This window comes from Homo sapiens, chromosome 20, assembly GCF_000001405.40.
Source record: "Homo sapiens chromosome 20, GRCh38.p14 Primary Assembly".
Classification (NCBI taxonomy): Eukaryota; Metazoa; Chordata; class Mammalia; order Primates; family Hominidae; genus Homo; species Homo sapiens.
Window position 1 is genome coordinate 15,136,548 of NC_000020.11, and position 24,697 is coordinate 15,161,244.

The window sequence follows — 24,697 nt, forward strand, 5'->3', positions numbered from 1 at the left end:
TACAAAAATTAATTCAAGATGGATTAAAGACTTAAATGTTAGACCTAAAACCATAAAAACCCTGGAAGAAAACCTAGGCATTACCATTCAGGACATAGGCATGGGCAAGGACTTCATGTCTAAAACACCAAAAGCAATGGCAACAAAAGCCAAAATTGACAAATGGGATCTAATTAAACTAAAGAGCTTCTGCACAGCAAAAGAAACTACCGTCAGAATGAACAGGCAACCTACAGAATGGGAGAAAATTTTCGCAACCTACTCATCTTTCAAAGGGCTAATATCCAGAATCTACAATGAACTCAAACAAATTTACAAGAAAAAAACAACCCCATCAAAAAGTGGGCAAAGAATATGAACAGACAATTCTCAAAAGAAGACATTTATGCAGCCAAAAGACACATGAAAAAATGCTCATCATCACTGGCCATCAGAGAAATACAAATCAAAACCACAATGAGATACCATCTCACACCAGTTAGAATGGCAATCATTAAAAAGTCAGGAAACAACAGGTGCTGGAGAGGATGTGGAGAAATAGGAACACTTTTACACTGTTGGTGGGACTGTAAACTAGTTCAACCATTGTGGAAGTCAGTGTGGCGATTCCTCAGGGATCTAGAACTAGAAATACCATTTGACCCAGCCATCCCATTACTGGGTATATACCCAAAGGACTGTAAATCATGCTGCTATAAAGACACATGCACACGTATGTTTATTGCGGCACTATTCACGATAGCAAAGACTTGGAACCAACCCAGATGTCCAACAATGATAGACTGCATTAAGAAAATGTGGCACATATACACCATGGAATACTATGCAGCCATAAAAAATGATGAGTTCATGTCTTTTGTAGGGACATGGATGAAATTGGAAATCATCATTCTCAGTAAACTATCGCAAGGACAAAAAACCAAACACCGCATGTTCTCACTCATAGGTGGGAATTGAACAATGAGAACACATGGACACAGGAAAGGGAACATCACACTCTGGGGACTGTTGTGGGGTGGGGGGAGGGGGGAGGGATAGCATTAGGAGATATACCTAATGCTACATGATGAGTTAATGGGTGCAGCACACCAGCATGTCACATGTATACATATGTAACTAACCTGCACTTTGTGCACATGTACCCTAAAACTTAAAGTATAATAATAATAAAAAAAAATAATAATCTTAAAGGTAAGGTACAGAAGTGTTAAGTTTTTAAAAATATGCACATTTAGATAGATTTATTGCTACATTAATCAATCTTTTTCTCCCCCTTTCCAGAAGGAAACAGAAGTAAAATTAAATAGTGCCTGCCTTTGGAAAAAGATGGGGTTAGTTGAGTGAGAGAGAATTCTACTCTTCATTTTGCTCCTTTCTGTAGTGTTCCAGTTATCTAATCCTTCCACATATCAGCTGAAGTTTTCTAAGCAGTAGTTATTTTTAGTTTACTTCCATATATTTTTAAATACCAAACTAATCAATATTGACTGACAATATCAATCAGTTAGTAAAATAATTGAGTAACCCCTGTTTTTATATATTCTGATATGAGATGAAAATTTAGGAACTCTATCAATTTTAATACTTCTGTAGAGAGTTTTTGCATATGTATATTCACTATTAATACACAGAAGATTCCTAAGTTCAGGCTGATTCCTTTAAAGTGTCTGTTTTACCCCCACAAGAATTGAAATAGTTTCAGTATATTTTGTTTTATAAATATTTAACTTCTGTTTGCTGAGGTTGAGAAAGGCAATATTCCACAAGGGTCCATTTTCTAAATCTAAGGCATGAATGATTTTTTCATAGTTACAGTATTTATGAAATATTGAGAATTTATGCATGTGAAATGTCTCATAATGGACTATTTTAGATTTAAGCTATTCTTTTTTTAGGTCTCCAGTGTAAAATTCAAAGAGTAGAAGCTATAGCAAATGAATATGCTGCGTTTCTTGTGCTATAGGCTCCTTAATCTTTACAGAAGTCTTATTTGCTCAGCTAGATTGGTCTAAAAGAAATGGTTTAATTTTCTCTCAAATAATTCAACCTTCAAAAAGAAACCTTCCATGTTGTTATTTTTGCACTTGTAGTGCATACTGGGGGTGCTCTGCCAGCTTGGCATTGAATGTGTTTGTTTTATGTAGAGTGTGGTATTAAAGTAGTGGCTGAATTACTTGACATAATTTGCATAAAGTCATATCTCAGTGATAAAAATTAATGTGTTGAGGGCTGTGAGTGAGTTGGAATGAGTCATTTATTTCTTAATAGAAAAAAGCTTTATCTTCAGTTTCTATCACACTTGAACTTCAATTACCTGGAATATTTTCATTTGTTTGTTTATTCGCATTTACTTAAGTGTTAATGATTATTCAGTGGTTTCAGCAGGAGAGTGTTTTAGGTCTGTCTTTAACCTGAGTCTAATCATAGAAGGAGTTGGCACGTATCAGAATTGTACCGTAAAAGCACCCCTAAAGCTTGACAATGTTCTAGTGATTCCATTAGCAGCTATTAAATGGAGGTTTAATGTCTTTGCCATTTGGGGATCTGACAGACTGAAACTTAGTATTCGTTTTGGCCCCTGTGAATATCATCTGCTCATCCATGCTTATAAAAATGAAATAAAAAGTCAGTCTTTGTTCTTGCTCTTGCAGAAGCAATTGTAGATTTTTATGAGGAAAACAATGAACATGTCACCCTGGATTTGGCAGCAGGGAAGAGCAGGGAGTATATAAATTGTCTTTTTGGGTGCCAACTGTTTTGCACCAGCATTGTTTATATTAGTGAAATGGTTGTAAGTCGTGTAAATTGTATTTTTTTCCTTAGCTATGTTTTATGGTGGGGGGGTGTCGTAGGGGAATGTGCATTAAATCTGAAATGGTCTCATGCTTAAATACCGCAGTGTGGTAGACAGTTAATCTTCAGAACAAATAGTGAACATGCGTAACTGCTTTATTGCCGTCAACATATGTCACTCTGTAATTATCCTGGCTTATACCTTGGGATGGGCTAAGGATGCAGGAGCTGTCTCAGCTCAGAGAATTTTGTTTTCATTTTTTGGGTTCCAAACAGAATGTATTGGGAGAAAAAAAAATCATGTGGATTTGCCCAATATTGGTGCTCGTAAAAACAATTACCCTGAAATTATTAGTGCTGTATGTTCAGGACCTAGGAGAGCAGGTGTTGGGTAAGTCTGACTAAACAGATGTGTCAATACACCTTGGCTCATCTGAGACTGTTTGGGAAAATTCTTGAGGAGGCTCACGACACCACACATAGTCATTTCCAGTTACCTGGTGGTGACATGCACAAGTGGCATATAGAGACTGGGTTGCAGCTGACCTTCTGGTGACCAGGGAATACCTCCAGAGAGACTGCGATGCAGTTCGCAACTGAAAAAAGAGCCACTTGAATACTGATCCTTGATGATGGGTATCGCCATTGAGGCAGCAAGCCCAACTGTTTATCTTTTTTCTTATTTGGTAACTAGGTGGGATGGTTGTATAGAAAAATGTGGGTGGGAATGACCACAGACCGCAAACTCACGTTTGCAAGAAATGTAGCTGTAATTTTCTGTAGATTTTACCCATGTCGTCCTCTATACATAGAGAGATCATACATCCAGGTTTGCCCAGAAGAGTCCAGGGTTATGACTTGTCCTGACCCTCCTTTTTCCCTCCCAAGAGTTTCCCAGTCATGCCAGCATAAGAACTTTTCCCTGAGTTCGTTATGATGGAAGAACCTTGCTGCTTCAACGGAGAGAGCCATGGGGATTTAAAATACACAGAGAAAGGCCTATCAGTACATTATAATATCATTTCCTTCAAAGTATTCAAAATTTCCTTAGTCTGTCTCTAGTTCTCCAAAGGGTGTATGTAATATTATAATATGTATAACCGAGATGAAAATTGTTGGCCAGTGGAGCAGCAAGCATATTTCTTGGATAATGTAGTGCTTTATTTGGGAGGACTTGATATCCTTTGGGGAGGCTCATTGATTTTATGAGATCATTAGTTTACTTATTATTCAATAAATTTAACTCCTCTACACTCAAACCTGTAGTAAAATATGTTTTGTGACTGTGATGTTCTCTTTTCAGAAGTGAGGCTGGGCTGGCAATAGCTGGCTGGAACATGGTCTGGGAAGGAAATGGGTGAGGTCAAAAGTGGTGAGACAAGTTGCTGAAGAACAGGAATCTGCTATGCGAAAGAATCAGAGTGCTCCCTTAGGGACCTTAATTTAGGGGTCTTGAAATATATCACACTCTCCCAAAACTAATTCATGCTTCAACTGCCCTCATTAATCATAAGTCAGTTGTGAAAGACCATAATGACAGTAACTGCCTACGTGGATCACATTTTGTAAACCAGGTTTTAGTCGCAGTATGCACCATACTGACCAAATTTGTGTCCATGTAAATCACTGTTCACATCCATCCAGATTCCATTTACATGCATTCAGGCACTAGCATACATACATATAGATATACATGTGTTTGCATAAGGAGTGCATATAGTTATATATCTGCATATAGAATTTACATGCATACAGGCACTAGCATACATACATATAGATATACATGTGTTTGCATAAGGAGTGCATGTGGTTATATATCTGCATATAGAATTTACATGCATACAGGCACTAGCATACATCCATATAGATATACATGTGTTTGCATAAGGAGTGCATATAGTTATATATCTGCATGTAGAATTTACATGCATTCAGGCACTAGCATACATACATATAGATATACACGTGTTTGCATAAGGAGTGCATATAGTTATATATCTGCATATAGAATTTACATGCATTCAGGTACTCGCATACATACATATAGATATACACGTGTTTGCATAAGGAGTGCATATAGCTACGTATCTGCATGTAGAGAAGTATCTTTGAAATCAAGTGATCTGGCTCCATAACTGTCCTTCCATGCACACAGCTTGCCTCCTCTCCTGCCCTTAAATTGGGGCTGGGAAGGGACTACCTGCCTCTCTCTGATTCCAAGTGACCTCAGAAAGTACACCTGCTCTTCACATTCACATGTTTAATTCGTACCTTTCTAATGCCTGGAGGTGATTTGGATATCTGGATGATTTTTTCCCTTTTTCTTTCCTACTTCTTCAGAATAAACCACTTCTTAATATTCTTTGCCACTTTTGTTTCAATGCTGCCAGAAGGATTTTCTTAAATCACAGGCCTAATACTTTTATTTCAGTTTCCCAGAAACTTTTGCTAGATCCTTACTGTGTGAAAAATGAATGCCTCATAGCATGGCATTCAAGGGCCACTCTGATCTGACCTGCAGTTTCTTGCCTCCCTTTTGCATCATCTCTGCCAGGAAACCCAGATCGAGCTTGTGCTTCCCAAGTCTTGATGCTTCTCCATGGTCTTCTTGTGTTCTCCGCTTCTTTAAGGTTCACCTGAAATGCAGCGTTCTACCAAGCATTGGCCAGTTCTCATAATCAGTTTTTCTTTTCTGTGAGCATAGTGGATTTTTATCATTTGAGCATAACCCTATCAATGTCTTGAATTATGACTGTGTGCATACCTGTAGTACCTGTTAATTATAAACTCCTAGAAGGCAGAAGACATGTCTTTTTATTCTTTGTGTCTCTCCTAGCATCTAACGCAATACCTGGTAACTACTAAGACTCAATAAATACATGCAAAGTGAAGACAAAAATTAATTCCAAGCTAAAAAATGTTGCTAAAACTTTGAAAAGACTCCTTGTTGAGGATCAAAGGTTTTTGATAATGGCAAATGCCTAGATAACCAGTATTTCTCAAAGTAAAGCCCCAAAATTACCAACCAATCGTTCTGTCCACAGGTTACCTATCATTTAAAAGAAAAATATTTGTTCATATATATACATTCAAAATTTTTGGAAGTTTGAAATGTAAGTTTAGTTATGGTTTTCATAGGCATTTTTTTGTTATTTTCCATTTTTACTACTTTTATTTTTTTATTATTATACTTTAAGTTCTAGGGTACATGTGCACAACGTGCAGATTTGTTACATATGTATACATGTGCCATGTTGGTGTGCTGCACCCATTAACTCGTCATTTACATTAGGTGTATCTCCTAATGCTATCCCTCCTCCCTCCCCCCACCCCATGACAGGCCCCGGTGTGTGATGTTCCCCACCCTGTGCCCGAGTGTTCTCATTGTTCAGTTCCCACCTATGAGTGAGAACACGTGGTGTTTGGTATTCTGTCCTTGTGATAGTTTGCTGAGAATGATGGTTTCCAGCTTCATCCATGTCCCTACAAACGACATGAACTCATCATTTTTTATGGCTGCATAGTATTCCATGGTATATATGTGCCACATTTTCTTAATCCAGTCTATCATTGATGGCCATTTGGGTTGGTTCCAAGTCTTTGCTATTGTGAATACTGCTGCAATAAACATATGTGTGCATGTGTCTTTATAGCAGCATGATTTATAATCCTTTGGGTATATACCCAGTAATGGGATGGCTGGGTCAAATGGTATTTCTAGTTCTAGATCCCTGTGAGGAATCTACACTGTCTTCCACAATGGTTGAACTGGTTTACAGTCCCACCAACAGTGTAAAAGTGTTCCCACTTCTCCACATCCTCTCCAGCACCTGTTGTTTCCTGACTTTTTAATGATTGCCATTCTAACTGGTGTGAGATGGTATCTCATTTTGGTTTTGATTTATATTTCTCTGATGGCCAGTGATGATGAGCATTTTTTTCATGTGTGTTGGCTGCATAAATGTCTTCTTTTGAGAAGTGTCTGTTCATATCCTTTGCCCAAGTTTTGATGGGGTTGTTTGATTTTTTTCTTGTAAATTTGCTTAAGTTCTTTGTAGATTCTGGATATTAGCCCTTTGTCAGATGAGTAGATTGTAAAAATTTGTTCCCATTCTGTAGGTTGCCTGTTCACTCTGATGGTAGTTTCTTTTGCTGTGCAGAAGCTCTTTAGTTTAATTAGATCCCATTTGTCTATTTTGGCTTTTGTTGCCATTGCTTTTGGTGTTTTAGACATGAAGTCCTTGCCCATGCCTTCATAGGCATTTTTTTTTAATCTTGTTAAGTACTATTATGCTCTCCAAGGCTATGAAAACATTGCAAAGTGTTGGCCATGCTGTCTCAGCAAATATTCAGTTAATGGTGCACTTCCCCCAAAATATATGATTTCCTGTAGTTTTTTCTAATTATTTATATCTGTTAATTTTTTTCTTTTTTATTGTTAGTATTTTGATGAATCATATTCTCGATTCACAATAAGCAGATCACCAGCACAAAAACATTCACTAGAGAAGGGGTGTTCAATCTTTTGGCTTCCCTGGGCCACGTAGAAAGAACTCTCTTGAGCCACACATAAAATACCCTAACACTAACGATCGCTGATGAGCTAAAAAAAAAAAAATCGCAAAAAAAAAAAAACCTCATAATATTTTAAGAAAGTTTACAAATTTGTGTTGTGCTGCATTAAAAGCCATCCTGGGCCTCATGTGGGTCGTGGGCCGCGGGTTGGACGGTGCCAAAGCATGAATGTTGTGATTACAGTAGTAATATAAATACTACAATTCATGTATATATTTTTAATTTTAATATAGAGACATCATGTTGTCCAGGCTGGTCTCAAACTTCTGGGCTCAAGCAATCCTCCTCCCTCGACCTCCCAAACTGTTAGAATTAAATGAACCACTGCACCTGGCCTACAATTCAAATTAATGTAAAAACTGCAAGTGGTTGGTGATCAAAACTCCAATGCACATGTAGACTATAATTTGTTCATGTCAGGATAGTGTGATGGGTTTACTCAAGCAGCCACAAAAGAAAAGTTTGAATCAGAAATAAGATGTGAATGATTTTTATATTTTATTTTATATTTTTTACCCCTTATCCAATTATAATACATTTGTCACATAGTGACTTTGAAACTTTGAAACGTTCTTCCAGTTTTCAAACAAAACACAATGACCTTTTTGTTGAACTGATTAAGTTTCTCTGGAAAGTAAGATAATACTTTCCCCATCAACATTAATGTATTTTGTTGCAAAAGGTGGGGAAATCACCAAAGTCATAAGAGCATAATTCAACTTTGCACTCTTTGTTAAAAATAATCAGGTAAATGTCACACTATGACTGAGATGGTGGTAAAATAAGCCAAAAGTTTAATGACAAATGTTATGTCCAGCGGGGAAACATGATGAACTTTTGGCAACATTTCTGAACCAAATGGACACCCCTGGAATCTGCCAGCACTGGAAAAGCGGTTGCTGTCCTGGAAGAGTGGTTCTATATTCTGTTCTATAGTACTTACTATGCTTACTATAGTACTATATACTATACTTACTATATACTATATACCATACTTACTATAGTACTTACTATAGAGCACAGTACAGAAGAACGGGCTGTATAAATCAGCATTTGGCACTTGTGTGGTACATATATGAGGGAGTGGTGCCTGGCAACTGTTTGCCTTACTTGTTATTGGAAATCCAAACTCTAGCAATGAAAGTTATTTTTAACTCAGTAAATGGTTATCTTGGAGTCTGTGATGTAGCCTAGAAAACATACCCCGGGGTGAAGGCTGATGGAGCACAGCCATATGTGCAACAAGGAAATTCTCACACTGCTGTATTCACAGATGACATTTGGTGGTCAACGCTATGCTTCCTCATACTGATTTGGTGGTGAAAGAAATACTCAAAAAATTATAGCCATAGATGTAAGTCTTTGGGATTTATTTTCTGGGTTTCAAGGATAAATTTCTGCTTTTCCAAATTGAAGTTCATCAGGGAGTAGAGAAAAAATGAATTACTCTATTTTTTTTTGAAAAAGGCATGTTTTTCATACGACACCAATAATACAAATAAAGGCCACTTTTATTTGTATCAGTTATTCAAGTGACACCCTCAGCAATGTATTTGATGTCTGAATAATCTGAACCCTTCTTTTCTGGGCAGAAACATTTTATTCCAAAGACATCTAAATATTTGAAAGAAATACCAAACATTTGCCACTGTTCTTAATGACAATTAATTTTAAATAGGGCTTCTCTAGTACAGTACAAATAAAGACTAAGAAAAGAAACAAGTTGGGATGTGAAACTGGAAGCCTCTGGGAGTAACCATTACCACGACATTTAAATTGTGACTGAAAATGTGCAAATAACAGGTTCTCTTTAACTGATAAGAAATGATTTTTAATTTAAAAAAATTTTATATAAATTTGTTTTTAATGTTTAAAAATTTTACCTAAAAGATGATGTTTGCATTTCTGCCTAATGTTCATTAAGTGGGTTTTAAGTAGTGAAAAATTGAAGAAACACCACCATTGATATGAAAGTGGTGACTAGTTTTGAAAAATTTCAAAAAAATTGTTTATAATAAATGCTTTCAGGCATAAACATATTAATAGTATAAATATGTACAAATATGTACTCACTAGCAACAATGTAATTAAGTACAGATAATATAATTTATGATTTAAAACATTTAAAATTTATTTGTTACATTTATTCCCAATCTTTGAGCTTTCAATCTCATACAGCTTTGATACATTCTGCAACTTGCAAAAATAATTTTCGGTTGTTTCATAAATTGATAATGTCTTCTATATAAGTATTTTCTGCTCTTTGTTTAATCTTTCTCTTGAGGCATCTATTTTGATTTTTCCTATTTTCTCATGAAGAATGAAATGCTTTAGTGATACGGAATATAGGATTTCTAGAAATCTTGGTAATTACTGAAATCTTTGCATCATACGGAGTATCTGTGTTGAGTGTTCTGATCCTTATTTATTTACTTTTGGTAACTATCATTGTAGTAGTGAAAATGGAAATCAGGGCCTTGTTTTCTTGTCTTAATTCTTGGCTTCTCAGTTTTACAGACAGTAAAGAGATCAAATAAAGTAACATACTATTTGTCCAATGTAAAGCTAATTTTATCATATTTTGCTTCTAGAAATTCAGAATTCACCCAAAGTAGCACAATTAGAGCAGGGCGTAGTAGAGCAAGATCTCCTCAACTTTCCTCATATTTCGTTGACTGAGACATGTTGTGATCAAAGAATAGATTTCATCAAAGAAGTCTTTTTGTTTTTTACATTTTCCATCTCTTTTCCTGACTCCTTTATATGACGAACTTCATCTGTACACCTGACTTTTCATTCCTATATTTTAGAAAAGTAATAGCTTCTGGGAGAGAAGAGAGGAAAGGAAAATGATCTTTTGTTTTGGAACCATGAAAGACCAAGATGAGGCATTCTGAGATGCCAATTTCATGAATTTGTCTTTGAGAAGACAAGCAAAAAGTGATAGTAAGCTGTTCTTTAGCATAGAAATTTGTTTCTGGTTTTGTCATCATGATTAATCATTCTGATTTGCAGCCTTACTTGTTTCAATCATTGAGGCCCCATTTTAATGTGATTAACATTTTTGTTCCATTTATGGAGCAGTACTGGCCCCTAATTTTTGAGAACAGGATAACCCTTGATTGGCCTTATGTAAATAAATCGTAACTTAATGCCCTTGAAATTGGAGTATCCCCCAGGAGAACAAGCTGTAAATCAGAGTAGAAAAAAGTGAGCCTTACCCTGGGGGCGGGAGCTCCACATGGCATATTCAAGATGAACCAAATGCCTTTATTTCAGAATTTTAATTCATGGTACTTTTTCCTTTTCAAATGGTGCTGTCATCTTGAAATGACAGAGATTGAGTGCTAAATTGCTATTGCATAATTTTCCTTATCTCTCATCTATAGACTGGATTTGATTGAAAGTTCAGATTTTGTGAAGAATGTTTTACATAGGAAATTTTGAAATATGGGGAAACATTATTTTTACATAAAGGAAAGGAGAACTCTGTGTGTGTAAAACGGAGTTAGCATTTTTTTTTTTTTTTTACCCAGCCAGGGTCTTTGTGTAATTATAAGCAAATAGCTATTATCATTCCAACAGATTTTTTTTCCTCTTTGATTCTTTCTAGCAATCTCTCTCTCTATGTAGCTTCTTATCCCTTTTTGTGCCTTAAAATTATTATGCTATTTTTTAATAGTAAAGAGGCTGAAACAATGTCCTGGAATCCATATCCAGTGGTGACAGGAGACTAATCATTGCCTCTGTCTGAGTTATTTGAAAATGGGTCCACACTTTCATGTGCGTCCGTGTGAACAGACCACCAAACAGGCTTTGTGTGAGCAACAAGACTGTTTATTTCACCTGGGTGCAGGCGGGCTGAGTCTGAAAAGAGAGTCAGTGAAGGGAGCTAGGGGTGGGGCCATTTTATAGGATTTGGGTAGGTAAAGGAAAAAGGGGGGTTGTTCTCTGGCAGGCAGGAGTAGGGGTCACAAGGTGCTCAGTAGGGGAGCTTTTGAGCCAGGATGAGCCAGGATAAGGAATTTCACAAGATAATGTCATCAGTTAAGGCAGGAACCGGCCATCTCTATGTGTATGTGCAGGTCACAGGGGATATGATGGCTTAGCTTGGGCTCAGAGGCCTGACATTCCTGTCTTCTTATATTAATAAGAAAAATAAAATGAAATAGTGGTAAAGTGTTGGGATGGTGAAAATTTTTGGGGGGTGGTATGGAGAGAGAATGGGCGATGTTTCTCAGGGCTGCTTCGAGCGGGATTAGGGGCGGTGTGGGAGCCTAGAGTGGGAGAGATTAAGCTGAAGGAAGATTTTGTGGTAAGGGATGACATTGTGGGGGGTTGTTAGAAGAAACATTTGTCATGTAGAATTATTGGTGATGGCCTGGATACCGTTTTGTATGAATTGAAAAACTAAACGGAATAAGAGAAGGAGAAAAACAGGTATTAAAGGACTAAGAATTGGGAGGACCTAGGACATCTAATTAGAGAGTGCTTAAGGAGGTTCAGCATAGCCTTGCCAGCAAAGATTATTTATTTACTTTAAGAGTTAGGAGTGGCGGTTTGGGGATAGCATCAGGAGGTATCAGCTGTGATGGCTTGGAAAAACAGTGTAAACTGGCACTGTAAACAAGAGCAGGGCATGTATGAGTAGTTGAGAATGGTGAATAGGAGTATGACTAGACAGAAAACAGCACAGATGACAAGTTTTTTGGGGCGCAGTCCAAGTTGGTCTGGTGTCTGGGATGAGACTGGGGCCTGATAAAAAGGAGTGTCTATACAGGAGCTCAAATGGGCCGTACCCTGTAGCATTCTGAGGACAGGCCTGACTTCTGAGAAGGGAAAGTGGTAAAAGTATTGTCCAGTCCTTTTTAAGTTGGTGGCTGAGCTTGGTGAGGTGTGTTTTTAAAAGACTTTTAGTCTGTTCTACTTTCCCTGAAGACTGAGGACCGTAAGGGATGTAAAGGTTTCACTGAATACTAAGAGCCTGAAAAACTGCGTGGCTGTTTTGACTAATAAAGGCTGGTCTGTTATCAGACTGTATAGAGGTGGGAAGGCTAAACTGAGGAATTACGTCTGACAGAAGGGAAGAAGTGATTGCAGTGGCCTTCTCAGACCCTGTAGGAAAGGCCTCTACCTATCTAGTGAAAGTGTCTACCTAGACTAAGAGGTATTTTAGTTATTTGACTTGGGGCATGTTGAGTAAAGCTAATTTGCCAGTCCTGGGTGGAGGCAAATCCTTGAGCTTGGTGTGTAGGGAAGGGAGGGGGCCTGAATAATCCCTGAGGAGTAGTAGAATAGCAGATGGAACACTGAGAAGTTATTTCCTTGAGGATAGATTTCCACGATGCAAAGGAAATGAGAGGTTCTAAGAGGTGGGCTAGTGGCTTGTACTATAGCATAGCCTGCCTTTGCTGGTGTGTGGCGATTAGGCCTGGTGGAGCTGCCATCAGTAAACCAAGTGTGATCAGGGTGAGGAACAGGAAAGAAGGAAATGTGGGGAAATGGAGTAAATGTCAGGTGGATCAGAGAGATGCAGTCATAGGGGTCAGGTGTGGTATCTGGAATAATGTGGGAGGTCGGATTGAAGTCCGGGCCAGGAACAATGGTAATTATGGGAGACTCAACAAAGAGTGAGTACAGCTGAAGGAGCCAGGGAGCAGAAAGTATATGCGTCAGGTGTGAGGAAGAAAATAGATTTTGGAAGTTATGAGAGCTGTAGAGAGTGAGTTGAGCGTAGTTTGTGATTTTAAGGGCCTCTAAAAGTATTAGGGCGGCAGCAGCTGCTGCACGGAGACATGATGGCCAGCCTAAAACAGTAAGGTCAAGTTGTTTGGACAAAGAAGCTACAGGACGCAATCCCGGTCCTTGTGTAAGAATTCTGACTGCACAGCCCTGCACTTCGGCTGTGTGTAATGAAAAGGGTTGGGATGAGTCAGGAAGAGCTAGGGTGGGGACAGTCTCTAAAGCTGTCTTCAAGGAATGGAAAGATGAGTGGGGAAAGGATTTAGGATCTATGGGGTCAGCTAGGTTTCCTTTTGTGAGTTTATGTAATGGTTTTGTTAGGATGGCAAAACCAGGTATCCAAAGGCAAAAGTATCCAACCATGCCCAGGAAGGAAAGGAGTTGTTGTTTTGTAGAAGGTGCTGTAGTTTGAGAGATCAGTTGGACACTATCGGCAGGGAGAGCACATGTGTTTTTATGAGAATTATGCCAAGATAGGTAACAGATGAGGAAGAAATTTGGGCTTGACTGAAGTGATGGAGGCTATCTGTGAGGGCTTGCAGCAGTACAGCCCAGGTAATTTGCTGAGCCTGATGGGTGTCAGGGTCAGTACAAGTGAAAGCGAAGAGAGGCTGGGACGAGGGGTGTAGGGGAATAGTGAAAAAAGCATTTTTAAGATCAAGAACAGAATAGTGAGTTGTGGAGGAAGGTATTGAGGACAAAAGAGTGTACAGGTTGGGCACCACAGGGTGGATAGGCAAAGCAATTTGGTTGATAAGGCACAGATCCTGAACTAATCTGTAAGACTTGTCCGGTTTTTGGACAGGTAAAATGGGGGAATTGTAAGGAGAATTTATAGGTTTTAGAAGCCCATGCTGTAGCAGGCGAGTGATAACAGGCTTTAATCCTTTTAAAGCATGCTGTGGGATGGGGTATTGGCATTGAGCGAGGTAAGGGTGATTAGGTTTTAATGGGATGGTAAGGGATGCATGATCAGTTGCCAAGGAGGGAGTAGAGGTATCCTATACTTGTGGGTTAAGGTGGGGGGATACAAGAGGAGGATGCAAAGGAGGCTTTGGATTGGGAAGAAGGGCGGCAATGAGATGTGGCTGTAGTCCAGGAATAGTCAGGGAAGCAGAATGTTTAGTTAAAGTGTCTCGGCCTAATAAGGGAACTGAGCAGGTGGGGATAACTAAAAAGGAGTGCTTAAAAGAGTGTTGTCTAAGTTGGCACCAGAGTTGGGGAGTTTTAAGAGGTTTAGAAGCCTGGCTGTCAATACCCACAACAGTTATGGAGGCAAGGGAAACAGGCCCTTGAAAAGAAGGTAATGTGGCGTGGGTAGCCTCCATATTGATTAAGAAGGGGACGGACTTACCCTCCACTGTGAGAGTTACCTAAAGCTCGGCGTCCACGATGGTCTACAGGGCTTCCGAGGCGATCAGGCAGTGTCAGTCTTCAGCTGCTAAGCCGAGAAGATCTGGGAAGGAGTCAGTCAGAGAGCCTTGGGCCAGAGTTCCAGGGGGCTCTGGGAGTGGCTGCCAGGTGAGTTGGACAGTCCAATTTTCAGTGGGGTCCCACAGAGATGGGACGCGGCTTACGAGGAATCCCAGGCTGCAGGCATTCCTTGGCCCGATGGCCAGATTTCCAGCACTTGTAGCAAGCTCCTGGGGGAGGAGGTTCTGGAGGAATGCCTGGCTGCTGCGGTTCAGGCGTTTGGAAGTTCTTGTGTGCTGGAGATGTGGCTGGGGTTTGTCTCACAGTGGAGGCAAGGAATTGCAACTCAGAAATATATTGCTACTTGGCTGTCTCTACTCTATTATTGTACACCTTGAAGGTGAGGTTAATTAAGTCTGGTTGTGGGGTTTGAGGGCCGGAATTTAATTTTTGGAGTTTTATTTAATGTCGGGAGCAGATTGGGTAATAAAATGTATATTAAGAATAAGACGGCCTTTTCACCTTTTAGGGTCTAGGGCTGTAAAGCATCTCAGAGTTGCTGCCAAATGAGCCATGAACTGGGCTGGATTTTTATATTTGATGAAAAAGAGCCTAAACACTCTCTGATTTGGGATAAAGGAAAAGGAGCATTAACCTTGACTATGTCTTTAGCTCTAGCCACCTTTTTAAGAGTAAATTGCTGGGCAGGTTGGGGAGGGCTAGTCATGGAACGAAACTGTAAGCTGGACCGGGTGTGAGGAGGGAAGGTGATAAAAGTATTATAGGGTGGAGGAGTGGAGGCTAAGGAAGAATTGGGACCTAGCTCTGCCTGGCGAGGAGGGGAGGGGTCAGATGGGTCTGTAGAAGAGGAAGATTAGAAAGACTCAGCGACGCTTGGGGTTGGGACTGAGGGGACAGGTGGGAGGGAAAGAAGGAAGATTTGGGATGAGTTGCATTGGGAACAGAGACTAGGGAGGGACCGATGTGTAAAAGAATGCCTGGACGTCAGGCATCTCAGACCATTTGTCCATTTTACGACAAGAATTATTTAGATCTTGTAGGATGGAAAAATTGAAAGTGCCGTTTTCCGGCTATTTGGAACCACTGTCAAGTTTGTATTGGGGTCAAGCGGCATTGCAGGAGAAAATAAGATGCTTAGATTTTAGATCAGGTGAGAGTTGAAGAGGTTTTAAGTTCTTAAGAACGCAGGCTAAGGGAGAAGGAGGAATGGAAGGTGAAAGCTTGCCCATAGTGAAGGAGGCAAGCCCAGAGAAAAGAGAGTAGAGACACGGAGAAGAGGTGGGGGTTCTTGCCCTCCAGAAAAGCAGAGAAGGGGTTTGGGGCATGGAAATAAGGGGTTGGGGCACAGAGATAAGAGGTTGGGGGCGTGGAAATAAGGGATTGGGGCACAGAGATAAGAGGTTAGGGCATGGAAATAAGGGATCGGGGCACAGAGATAAGAGGTCAGGGTTCCTGCCCCTCCCCTAGAAAAGTGGGACTTGCCACTAAGGGTGAAGGTGAAGGGGTTGAGGGGTTCTTGCCTCTCCCCCAGAAAAGCGGAGAAGGGGTAGAGACACAGAGAAGGGGTTGGGGTTCTTGCCCCTCCCCCAGAAAAGTGGGACTTGCCGCTAAGGGTGAAGGACCAAAGCAGGCGTCCCTGCGTGGACTGACACCTCTGAAACCTGGGTGAATAATCAGAGAGGCATCCCTGCAATGATTAAACACCAAGGGAAGGCTGCCTTCCCTAGTCCATGACTGGCACTGGAGTTTTGGGTCCACGGATAAAACGTGTCTCCTTTGTCTCTACCAGAAAATGAAAGGAATTGAAATTAAGAGAAGGGAGAGATTGAAGTGTGGTGCCAAGATTGAAAGGAGAAAGAGGTTGAGGGATAGTGAGAGAGGTTGGAGAAGAGAGTAAAAAGAGGCCGCTTACCGGATTTGAAATTGGTAAGATGTTTCTTGGGCTGGTCAGTCTGAGGACCTGAGGTCGTAGGTGGATCTTTCTCATGGAGCAAAGAGCAGGAGGACAGGGGATTGATCTCCCAAGGGAGGTCCCCCAGTTCGAGTCACGGCACCAAATTTCATGTGTGTCCATGTGAAGAGACCACCAAACAGGCTTTGTGTGAGCAACGAGGCTATTTATTTCACCTGGGTGCAGGCGGGCTGAGTCTGAAAAGAGAGTCAGTGAAGGGAGCTAGGGGTGGGGCTATTTTATAGGATTTGGGTAGGTAAATGAAAAAGGGGGGTTGTTCTCTGGCAGGCAGGAGTAGGGGTCACAAGGTGCTCAGTAGGGGAGCTTTTGAGCCAGGATGAGCCAGGATAAGGAATTTCACAAGATAATGTCATCAGCTAAGGCAGGAACTGGCCATCTGGATGTGTATGTGCAGGTCACAGGGGATATGATGGCTTAGCTTGGGCTCAGAGGCCTGACACACACTATAGCAGTTCCCATGAAAATTAGTGTAACTTCCTAGATAAATAAGGTATGAACTCACAAGGAATTGTCATAGAACAATAAGATGATTCCACATGACAACATGGACCTGTCTCATAAGCATAATGTTGAATGAATGAAGCCAGATATGGAATACATACTGAATGATTCCAATTATGTGAAGCCTTAAAACAAAGAAAAATAATCTATGTAGTCAGAAATCAGAATTTTAGGGTAGTGTCTCTATTGGGTGAGTAGGGCCTGGAAAGCATATGGAGGGCTTCTGGGGCATTGGTCACATCTTGTTTCTTTATCTGTGTGCTGGTTGCAAGAATGTGTTCAGTTTGTGGAAACCCATGGAGCTGTATACTTAAGTGTATTTTTCCAGAAGGATTTTTTATACTTTGACAGAATGTTCAAAGGATGTCCTCTTACTGTGAACAACACAAATGATTGGAGTTATAATGACACCCTTGCTGTTTGAGGGTGCATTTTTCAAAGGATTTTAGTCACAGATTCCCATGTTCACTGAAGCTCAATAGACTATCCCCTACCTGATGACAAGTAATTTGCTTCTTTCTTTAGTCCTGCTTTTACCTCTGGCCATGAAGAATCCTGCTTTCCACTGGTGAGTTCAGAAATTTCTAGCAGCGATATTTCTTCAGCCCAAAGTAAATATCCTAGGACATGGAAGAAGCAGTATAGCCCCTGCCACACTCTGACTCATCTTATCCCTGCAACTCAGTTTTCTCATTCCTCACCGTCACTTGCAGGTATGAACTGGCAGGAACCTTTCCACAGATTTTCCAGTGTCTAATACACCATCTAAGAGGTAAATAGCCTGACTGGAGAGAAGCTGACAGTGGGCAGAAAGGTCTGGCTTATCCAACTGGATGAAAGCTCTCTACCTACTTTGGGCAGATGAGTCACATGACATTAGCACTTTAAAGACAGAGTTAGCTATGCCACTTGTCTTGGTTAGCTCGGGCTACTATAACAAAGTACCATAAACTGGGTGACTTATAAACAACAGGCATTTATTCCTCACAGTTCTGGAGTCTGTTAGTTTGAGATCAAGGTGCCAGCAAGCTCAAGTTCTAGTGACCCCCTCTTCCACTTTACAGATCCCGTCTTGTTGCATCCTCACAAGGTGAGAAGAGAGTGAGAGAGTTCTCTAGGGCTCTCTGTTACTGGAGCACTAAGCCCATTCATAAGGGCTCCACCCTCAGGGCTCGATCACTTCCCAAAGGCTCCACCTCCTAATATCACATTGGGGCTTAGGATTGCAGCACATGAATTTTGGGGGAACACAAACATTCAGTCCATTGCATCACTCTCAAAAGTAAAGAGGCTTCTTATATAGGAAAGCATTTTCAGTCTTTAGAAATCATAAAGTAAATGGTTCACTTGAGTGAGGCAAGATGATCAGTGGGGAAAAGAGTGAGATCTGTAGCCAGACTCCCTAGGTTCTTATTATGGCTGAAATCTAGGCTGAATGGGTTAAAAGTTTATGTCCTTGTGTTTCTTCAATTTAAAAAAAATGAAATAAGAAAAATAATAGCAACAGATAATAAGGATATAGAAGAACTCACCTTGTTTAGGTTACTGGGGGTTATATTAAGAACTCAAAATGGTAACTGTTGCTAGTATATAGTGTAGAGTCCTCTATTCATGGTAGATAATCAATAGATGTTGCCTAATGAGTATAATTTGTCAGATGATTCTGATCTTGTGGGCACCCCTCTTTCCCTACAGAAAACTCTTCAAACTCACATAGACTTTAGGCTGCAATCCTGTCTGCCATGCAGTTTGCTCTCATCTGGCCCTTGCCTCCCTTCCAGCCTCATTTCTCACTGCTCTCTCTTGCCCTTTATACTCTAGTGGGACCCACAGGCTTGGAGCATCCCTAACAATCTGTCTGATTCTCCATGACTTTCCTTAGCCTGCCCCCTCCACCTGAACTGCCCACCCTGCTACTCTTTACTTGAGAAACTTCTCTCTTCCTTTCCTTTCTTCAGATTCATCTTCTTCAGGAACTTACTGACTCTTCCTAGTGATGTCAGGCTGAGTGAGGTGAGCCCCTTTTGAGATTCCATTGTGCTGGAGCATAATCTCTGAGCCTATCATGTATCTCTCTTTCTTCATTAGAACAGGAGCTCCCTGAGTGTAGGAACAGTGGTTTTATCACCATGGGATCCCTAATACTTAAAAGAGTTCTTGTTATTAATCTATCGAATGAATAACTGAACCAACAAATAAATGACAAAAAAGAGACATAGGTGGTGATCTTCCTTAGAACTATAATCTCTGTATTTATATCTAGCATTTTCATTTAGAACATGAGGAATAGAAAAAAAAAAACATAAAATGACCCAATGGCTTTTAGTGTGTCTCAGTTTTAATTTTGCAAATCTGGTGCTTTGCTTCTATGAGTTACCAGCAATGCTAGTCAACTCTGAGTCAGACATCCTGGTGTGTGGGTTTTAAATAATGCATTTCCTTTACCCTTAGGTGGTAAGGTGTGACATTTGCTGCTTTGATAAAATCTCCAGATGATGGTACTTACACAGGTGCAATAAGGTCCAAGTTGTTAACCTTATCTCACTTGCAAATCTGCAATTTCCTTTTTCCTCACCTTCTTTTTGAGATGTGACTAAAGAAGTGATGGCAAGGATGTGAAGGATTAGGCAAGAGACATCCTGGGTTGGGAGACTGCATTCTATAGTAAAAATCCTTTGTCCTTTATTTCCCAGGTTGACCATCAGGGTAATACTACTAGCTCATTGCTCAGCTTTTCACTTTGCTTTGATTGGAAGTCATCAGTGACTTAGAAAAAAAAGCTTTAAAAATGCAAAATTATTACTTTTCATCTTAGTAATAGAAGCAGTAGCTTTCTTAATGGTAATCCACTTTTTTTCCCCCTTTGGTTTTCTTTTTAGCAAAGATTGGTCACTGTTGACTTATCTCTCATTTACTTATAATAGGTATCATGTATCCCCTTGACTCACCCCAATTTAAGACACTCTCTGATAAAACCTGTAGTGCTTTGCACCTTCAAGTTAATTACCCAAGTATCCCTTTCTACCAGATCTCCTACCCTAAGCTCATCCTATACAGTATTTCTGGAACAACCACCCTAGGCCTGGGTGATTCATTTCAGCTTTCTTCCTCCCTTTCCAGGAGAGGGGAATAGAGTGCCTGGGGGAGAGAATGGGAAGTCAAGGGTCTTCAGAGGAAATAAGTGGTTTCCTGATCTGCTTCTTTTCCTTCTCATTCCTTCCTCTTAGCAGACCCTCAGAAAACCTGGATTTGACTCAATAGAAATACCTGTATTAGCCAAGCCATTTATACAAATGATTTTTCCCCATGCTTTTCTCTGGACCCTGGCAGCAAAATTAAACTTTAAAAGTAAAAAGTTTTAAATTTCATCATTAAATCTGTATCACATTAACTTTTTCCTGTTGTGAGCTTTTATGTGATTTCAGCGCTAAGCTGGTCAAATATGTTACAATTTCCTAGTCCATTACTGTTATCTTTCACCACTATTTAGTCACATTTTGAAAAAGTTGACTTAGTCAGATCTGGCTTCTCTAATAAAATGCCACAGACTGGGTGGCTTAAACAATGGACATTTATTTTTCAGGGTTCTGGAGGCTGGGAAGTCCAAGACTAAGATGCCAACAGTCTCAGCGGCTTGTGAGGAACGGCTCTCTGGAATTGGAGACAGCCTCCTTCTCTTTGTGCACTCACAATGCCTTTTCTCTGATGCATGCTCTCAGAGAGAAGGGCACTAATCCTATCATGAGGGTCATGCTTTCATGACCTCATCTAAATCTAATTAACCACCCCCCCCCACCTCCCCCCCCCCCGGCCACCCAGGCTTCACCTCTAAATACCATCACATCAGGGGCTGGAGCTTTGACATATGAATTTAGGGAAGACACAGGCATTCAGCCATAAAAATGGTTATGTGAACCTGTTGTGTTTCTGCTGTTAACATTGCATGGTCCTTTCATTTAGTAAGTGTGTTTTGATTAGTTGCTTCTTTTGCAGGTGTGTGTTTTGATTATTTGTTCTCTTTCTATAAGCTCAACAGCTAGTGTTGACTAATAGCATTTAAGTTAGTGTCCTGAATAGTTTCCAACTGACCCCTAATCCACACTTCATCCCTTGACACACTGACCTCTATGAATTGTATCACCTGGGCTACCCCAGCCAATGGTGGGCACTGGCAGGAAATCTGAGTACAGGACAAGAGAGAGGTCAAGGTGTTTATTATTGTACCTGCAGATGCTGGTTAGTGGTGGCTGTATCCCTCTTCAGAAGTAGCCCTCTTTCCCAGCCATATTTCTCACTGGGCTCTAATCACCACTTTCTCCCATTGCCCTGTCAGGCCCACAGGTGGCCAAGGCTCCCCATTGCTGTGAACCTCAGGGTGCTTTATCATTTTACAACTTTGAAAATAGCCCCTTCATTAAATTCTCTTCAGTTACCCCTTGGAGTGTGGCAACTCTCCCTGTGCCCCCACCACCCCTCCCATTAGCAACACATAATGTGTAGTTCCCATTATGAAATAAATGGAGGTGTTTTATCACTTTATTTTGAATCACGCCAAGCTCCCTTGGCAGTGACACATAATAGGGGATATTCTCCACCTTTGTGGAAATGGCTTCAAATGGATATGTTTTTGAAACGTGGCTTTCAACTTGCAGGTTTCTTTTCTAAAACTCTTCAAATAGGCATCTCTTCCTCTTTGTTAAAAGTAATTCAAATGATAAGACAGTAATTATGATTGTAATAATACCAATAGCAGTAGTAATAATAATAGCAATCAGCATTCGCAGTTTAGAAAATGTTTTTGCATATGTGTTTCCCATCTTATCCCCACAAAATCCTCCAGTGATAGTTAACATTTTTTTCCTGATTTTACAGGTGAGAAAATTGAATACCACAGAGAAACTCTGTTCTTTTCACACACCTCAAAATTTAGTAAAAGGCAGGCTAAATTCAAATAGGGTCTTTCAAGTACAAATCTTTTAACTCTACCACAGCAGAAGTGTGTAGTGAAAATAGAGAGATTAGGAGGTCAATGACATTATCTTCAATTTGTGTTTGTGCTGAGTTCATTTCAATAGATGTCCTTGGCCCTTTGTCACCTGTTTGCAAAGCAAATGAAAATCTCATACTCAGTTCCGGCAATATTAGTCATTTTCTTGAAGGATAGCTACTGGTTTGTCTGTTTTCCTGAGTCCATAATTCAGAAATCCTATGAAAAGATCATTAACTTGTTGAGTAGACTGCAAAATAGACACTAATGGAATATAAAGTAATTCAAGAGCTTTGACGTCTCAGTTACAGGATGACAAGGAGTTATGTATTGAATACACATTTATCACCAGGAAATCTGAAGATGTTGACCATGGTTCTGTTCTTTTCCTTTAATCTCCATTTCTTGCCAATCCAATGTATTTTTCTCCCTCAAATGCATAGGCCAGTATCTGCAATACATTGTGTTTCTACCCACAAAGTTAAAGAGGAAATTTCTTCTTCCTTTTTAATATATGTATATAGAGAGATTGAATGCAATATTCAAACTGTACTTGTAACATAATTTTATTACGTTTCAAACCCTATTAATCATAGAATACAAAAAAATTCTTTTCTAGAATCTCATTTTTCTCTTATTTTTCATAAAACAAAAAGGGTAAAGCCACTGGGGGAAAAATGTGTCTTTTGTTGTATAACGAAAGTATGACCTTTAGGAAAACTCTTCTCCCCTATTTTCTTCTGATTTAGGTTCATTCTCTGCCTTTTTTTCCCTCTCTTTGTGTGTAGTCAGTTTTGTCAAACATATGACTCTCTGGAAATTTTGCAGAAATAAGAGTTCAATCAAGACTCTTGGAATTTTCTATCTTGGTTTTTCAAAAATATGCAACTCTATATGTTGATGTAGAACTAGAGTGATTGAAATATACTCTTTGACAGAGGGTAAAGTTAAGGGTAATCCACTTTTTTTGGAAGATAAGAATAAAAATATGGTTTGCTTTATTTTGAGGAAGACCAAATGGAAGGAGCAGACAATCATTTATTTCACAAACTCTAATTATGTAAGGAGATTGATTGATTGGTTTTTGGTTGATATGGGAGAATGATTTTTTTTCCTGCCATGCACAGCACTGGGCAGTCTAGTTCCCTTATCCTAAGGGAGTTTATAATCTAGTAGAGGTGGTATAACACACATACACATGGGCACACACACACACGCATGGGCACACACACACAATAAAAATATGCACTATTAGCCTAGTAAAGTACAAGCAAGGCACTGTTGGAGAGCAGGAGAGGAAGATGCTAAATTCTCAGCGCAGTGGGAGAGGTTGGATCTTGGGGCGTTTGAGTTGACTTTCCCAGGAAAATACTGAGGAAGGAGAGGTATTTCAGGAAAATAAAATAAATGAGAACTGCTTAGAGTGTTCTCAGAGACTAAGCCCAATGGCTTAATAGGAACAAAATGTTCATGACAGGTGCAGGTAAGAGTTATGTTAGAAATGTAAATGGAGACAGGGCATGGAAAGTCACTGATACCCTTGTAAAGTTCAAACTGTATTTCAGAGACAATTGGAACCCCTTAATATTTGGCCAGGGTGTGTTGAAGGTGGTTGAAAAAGATGGGACGGTGACGATAAGGAGGCTCTTACAATTATCCAGGAGAGCATTAAGAAGAGAAACCCCCAAGCTTGGGCACTGGCAGTGGAATGGAGAAAGAGGATGAATGTAAGAGAGATTCTGGAACAAGAAATGGTGAACTATCATAGCGATTTGATATGAGGGCAAAGGAGCTGTAGACAACAATTCCAAAGTTTCAACTAAAAACATTGTAGAAACCACTCTATTGCAATTTCGGCAACTTTTCAAGTTTGATTTATTTGGAGAGTATAGTAGAGAACACACATTTTCTGAAGAAGTACTAGTCATATTTGTCCTTTGACCCTACTTTTTATAAGACCTCCTTTAGTGTCACACCTATGAATCATTTATTTATTCAAAAAATTAATGACCTCCTATTCTATGGCAGGCATAAACAGGAGAAAAATAGACACGATCCCATTTACCTTCACCCTTCCACCCATATCCTCTCCCCACTATCTGCCCCCAGTGCTTTTCAGTTTGGATAAGGAGAAAATATCAGTAGAAAAACTGACTTAACCCATTATATCCCTTGATCTAATAGTATTTTTTAAATATGTATTTGAAATTGGGTCCATTTTTTTCTGGATACATAAATTATTAGTTCCTAATCTGATCTGCAACAATTTCAGGAAACAATTACTGAATTATCTGTGCTTAATTTGAGCAGATGATAGCTAATTCCATGTGCCCAGAACCTATCTTTGTAAATTATTTTGATTATTTTTTTTACTAGAGAGATAGAAGTTTTGCAGGAAGTTAACATGGATCAAGGAGTGGATGACACACACATATGCATGTGCATGCACACTGTTATACAATTGATGAAAATGTCATAAGGTGTAAGGAGCAGTAGAAGTTTTTATTAGATAGTTCACCTTTAAATCCTGGTTTTGCCTCATTGCCATGTGGATTGGACATGTCAGTTCACCTCTCTGAGTCTCAGTTTCTACATATATACAATGGGACTAATCTTCAGCTGGCTGTAACAAGAATTAAATTAGATAAATCTGAAAATGATTAACACAACTGAGGACATAATATGCTCAATAA

At 39.7% G+C, this 24,697-nt stretch overlaps 1 protein-coding gene across 3 annotated transcripts in view, besides 1 other annotated feature; it reads left to right on the top strand.

Annotated features, from left to right (window-relative positions):
- Positions 1–24,697, top strand: part of MACROD2 (mono-ADP ribosylhydrolase 2) — a 2,057,682-nt gene that overhangs the window by 1,141,032 nt on the left and 891,953 nt on the right. The window lies entirely within an intron of this gene.
- Positions 17,525–17,694: an enhancer, noted in NCBI's record as "experimental_59671 CRE fragment used in MPRA reporter constructs". NCBI's record gives its function as "activates a minimal promoter by MPRAs in K562 erythroleukemia cells, with activity observed for both the introgressed and non-introgressed 20:15134803 variant alleles {active_cell/tissue: K562}" and the evidence as "EXISTENCE:reporter gene assay evidence [ECO:0000049][PMID:34662402]".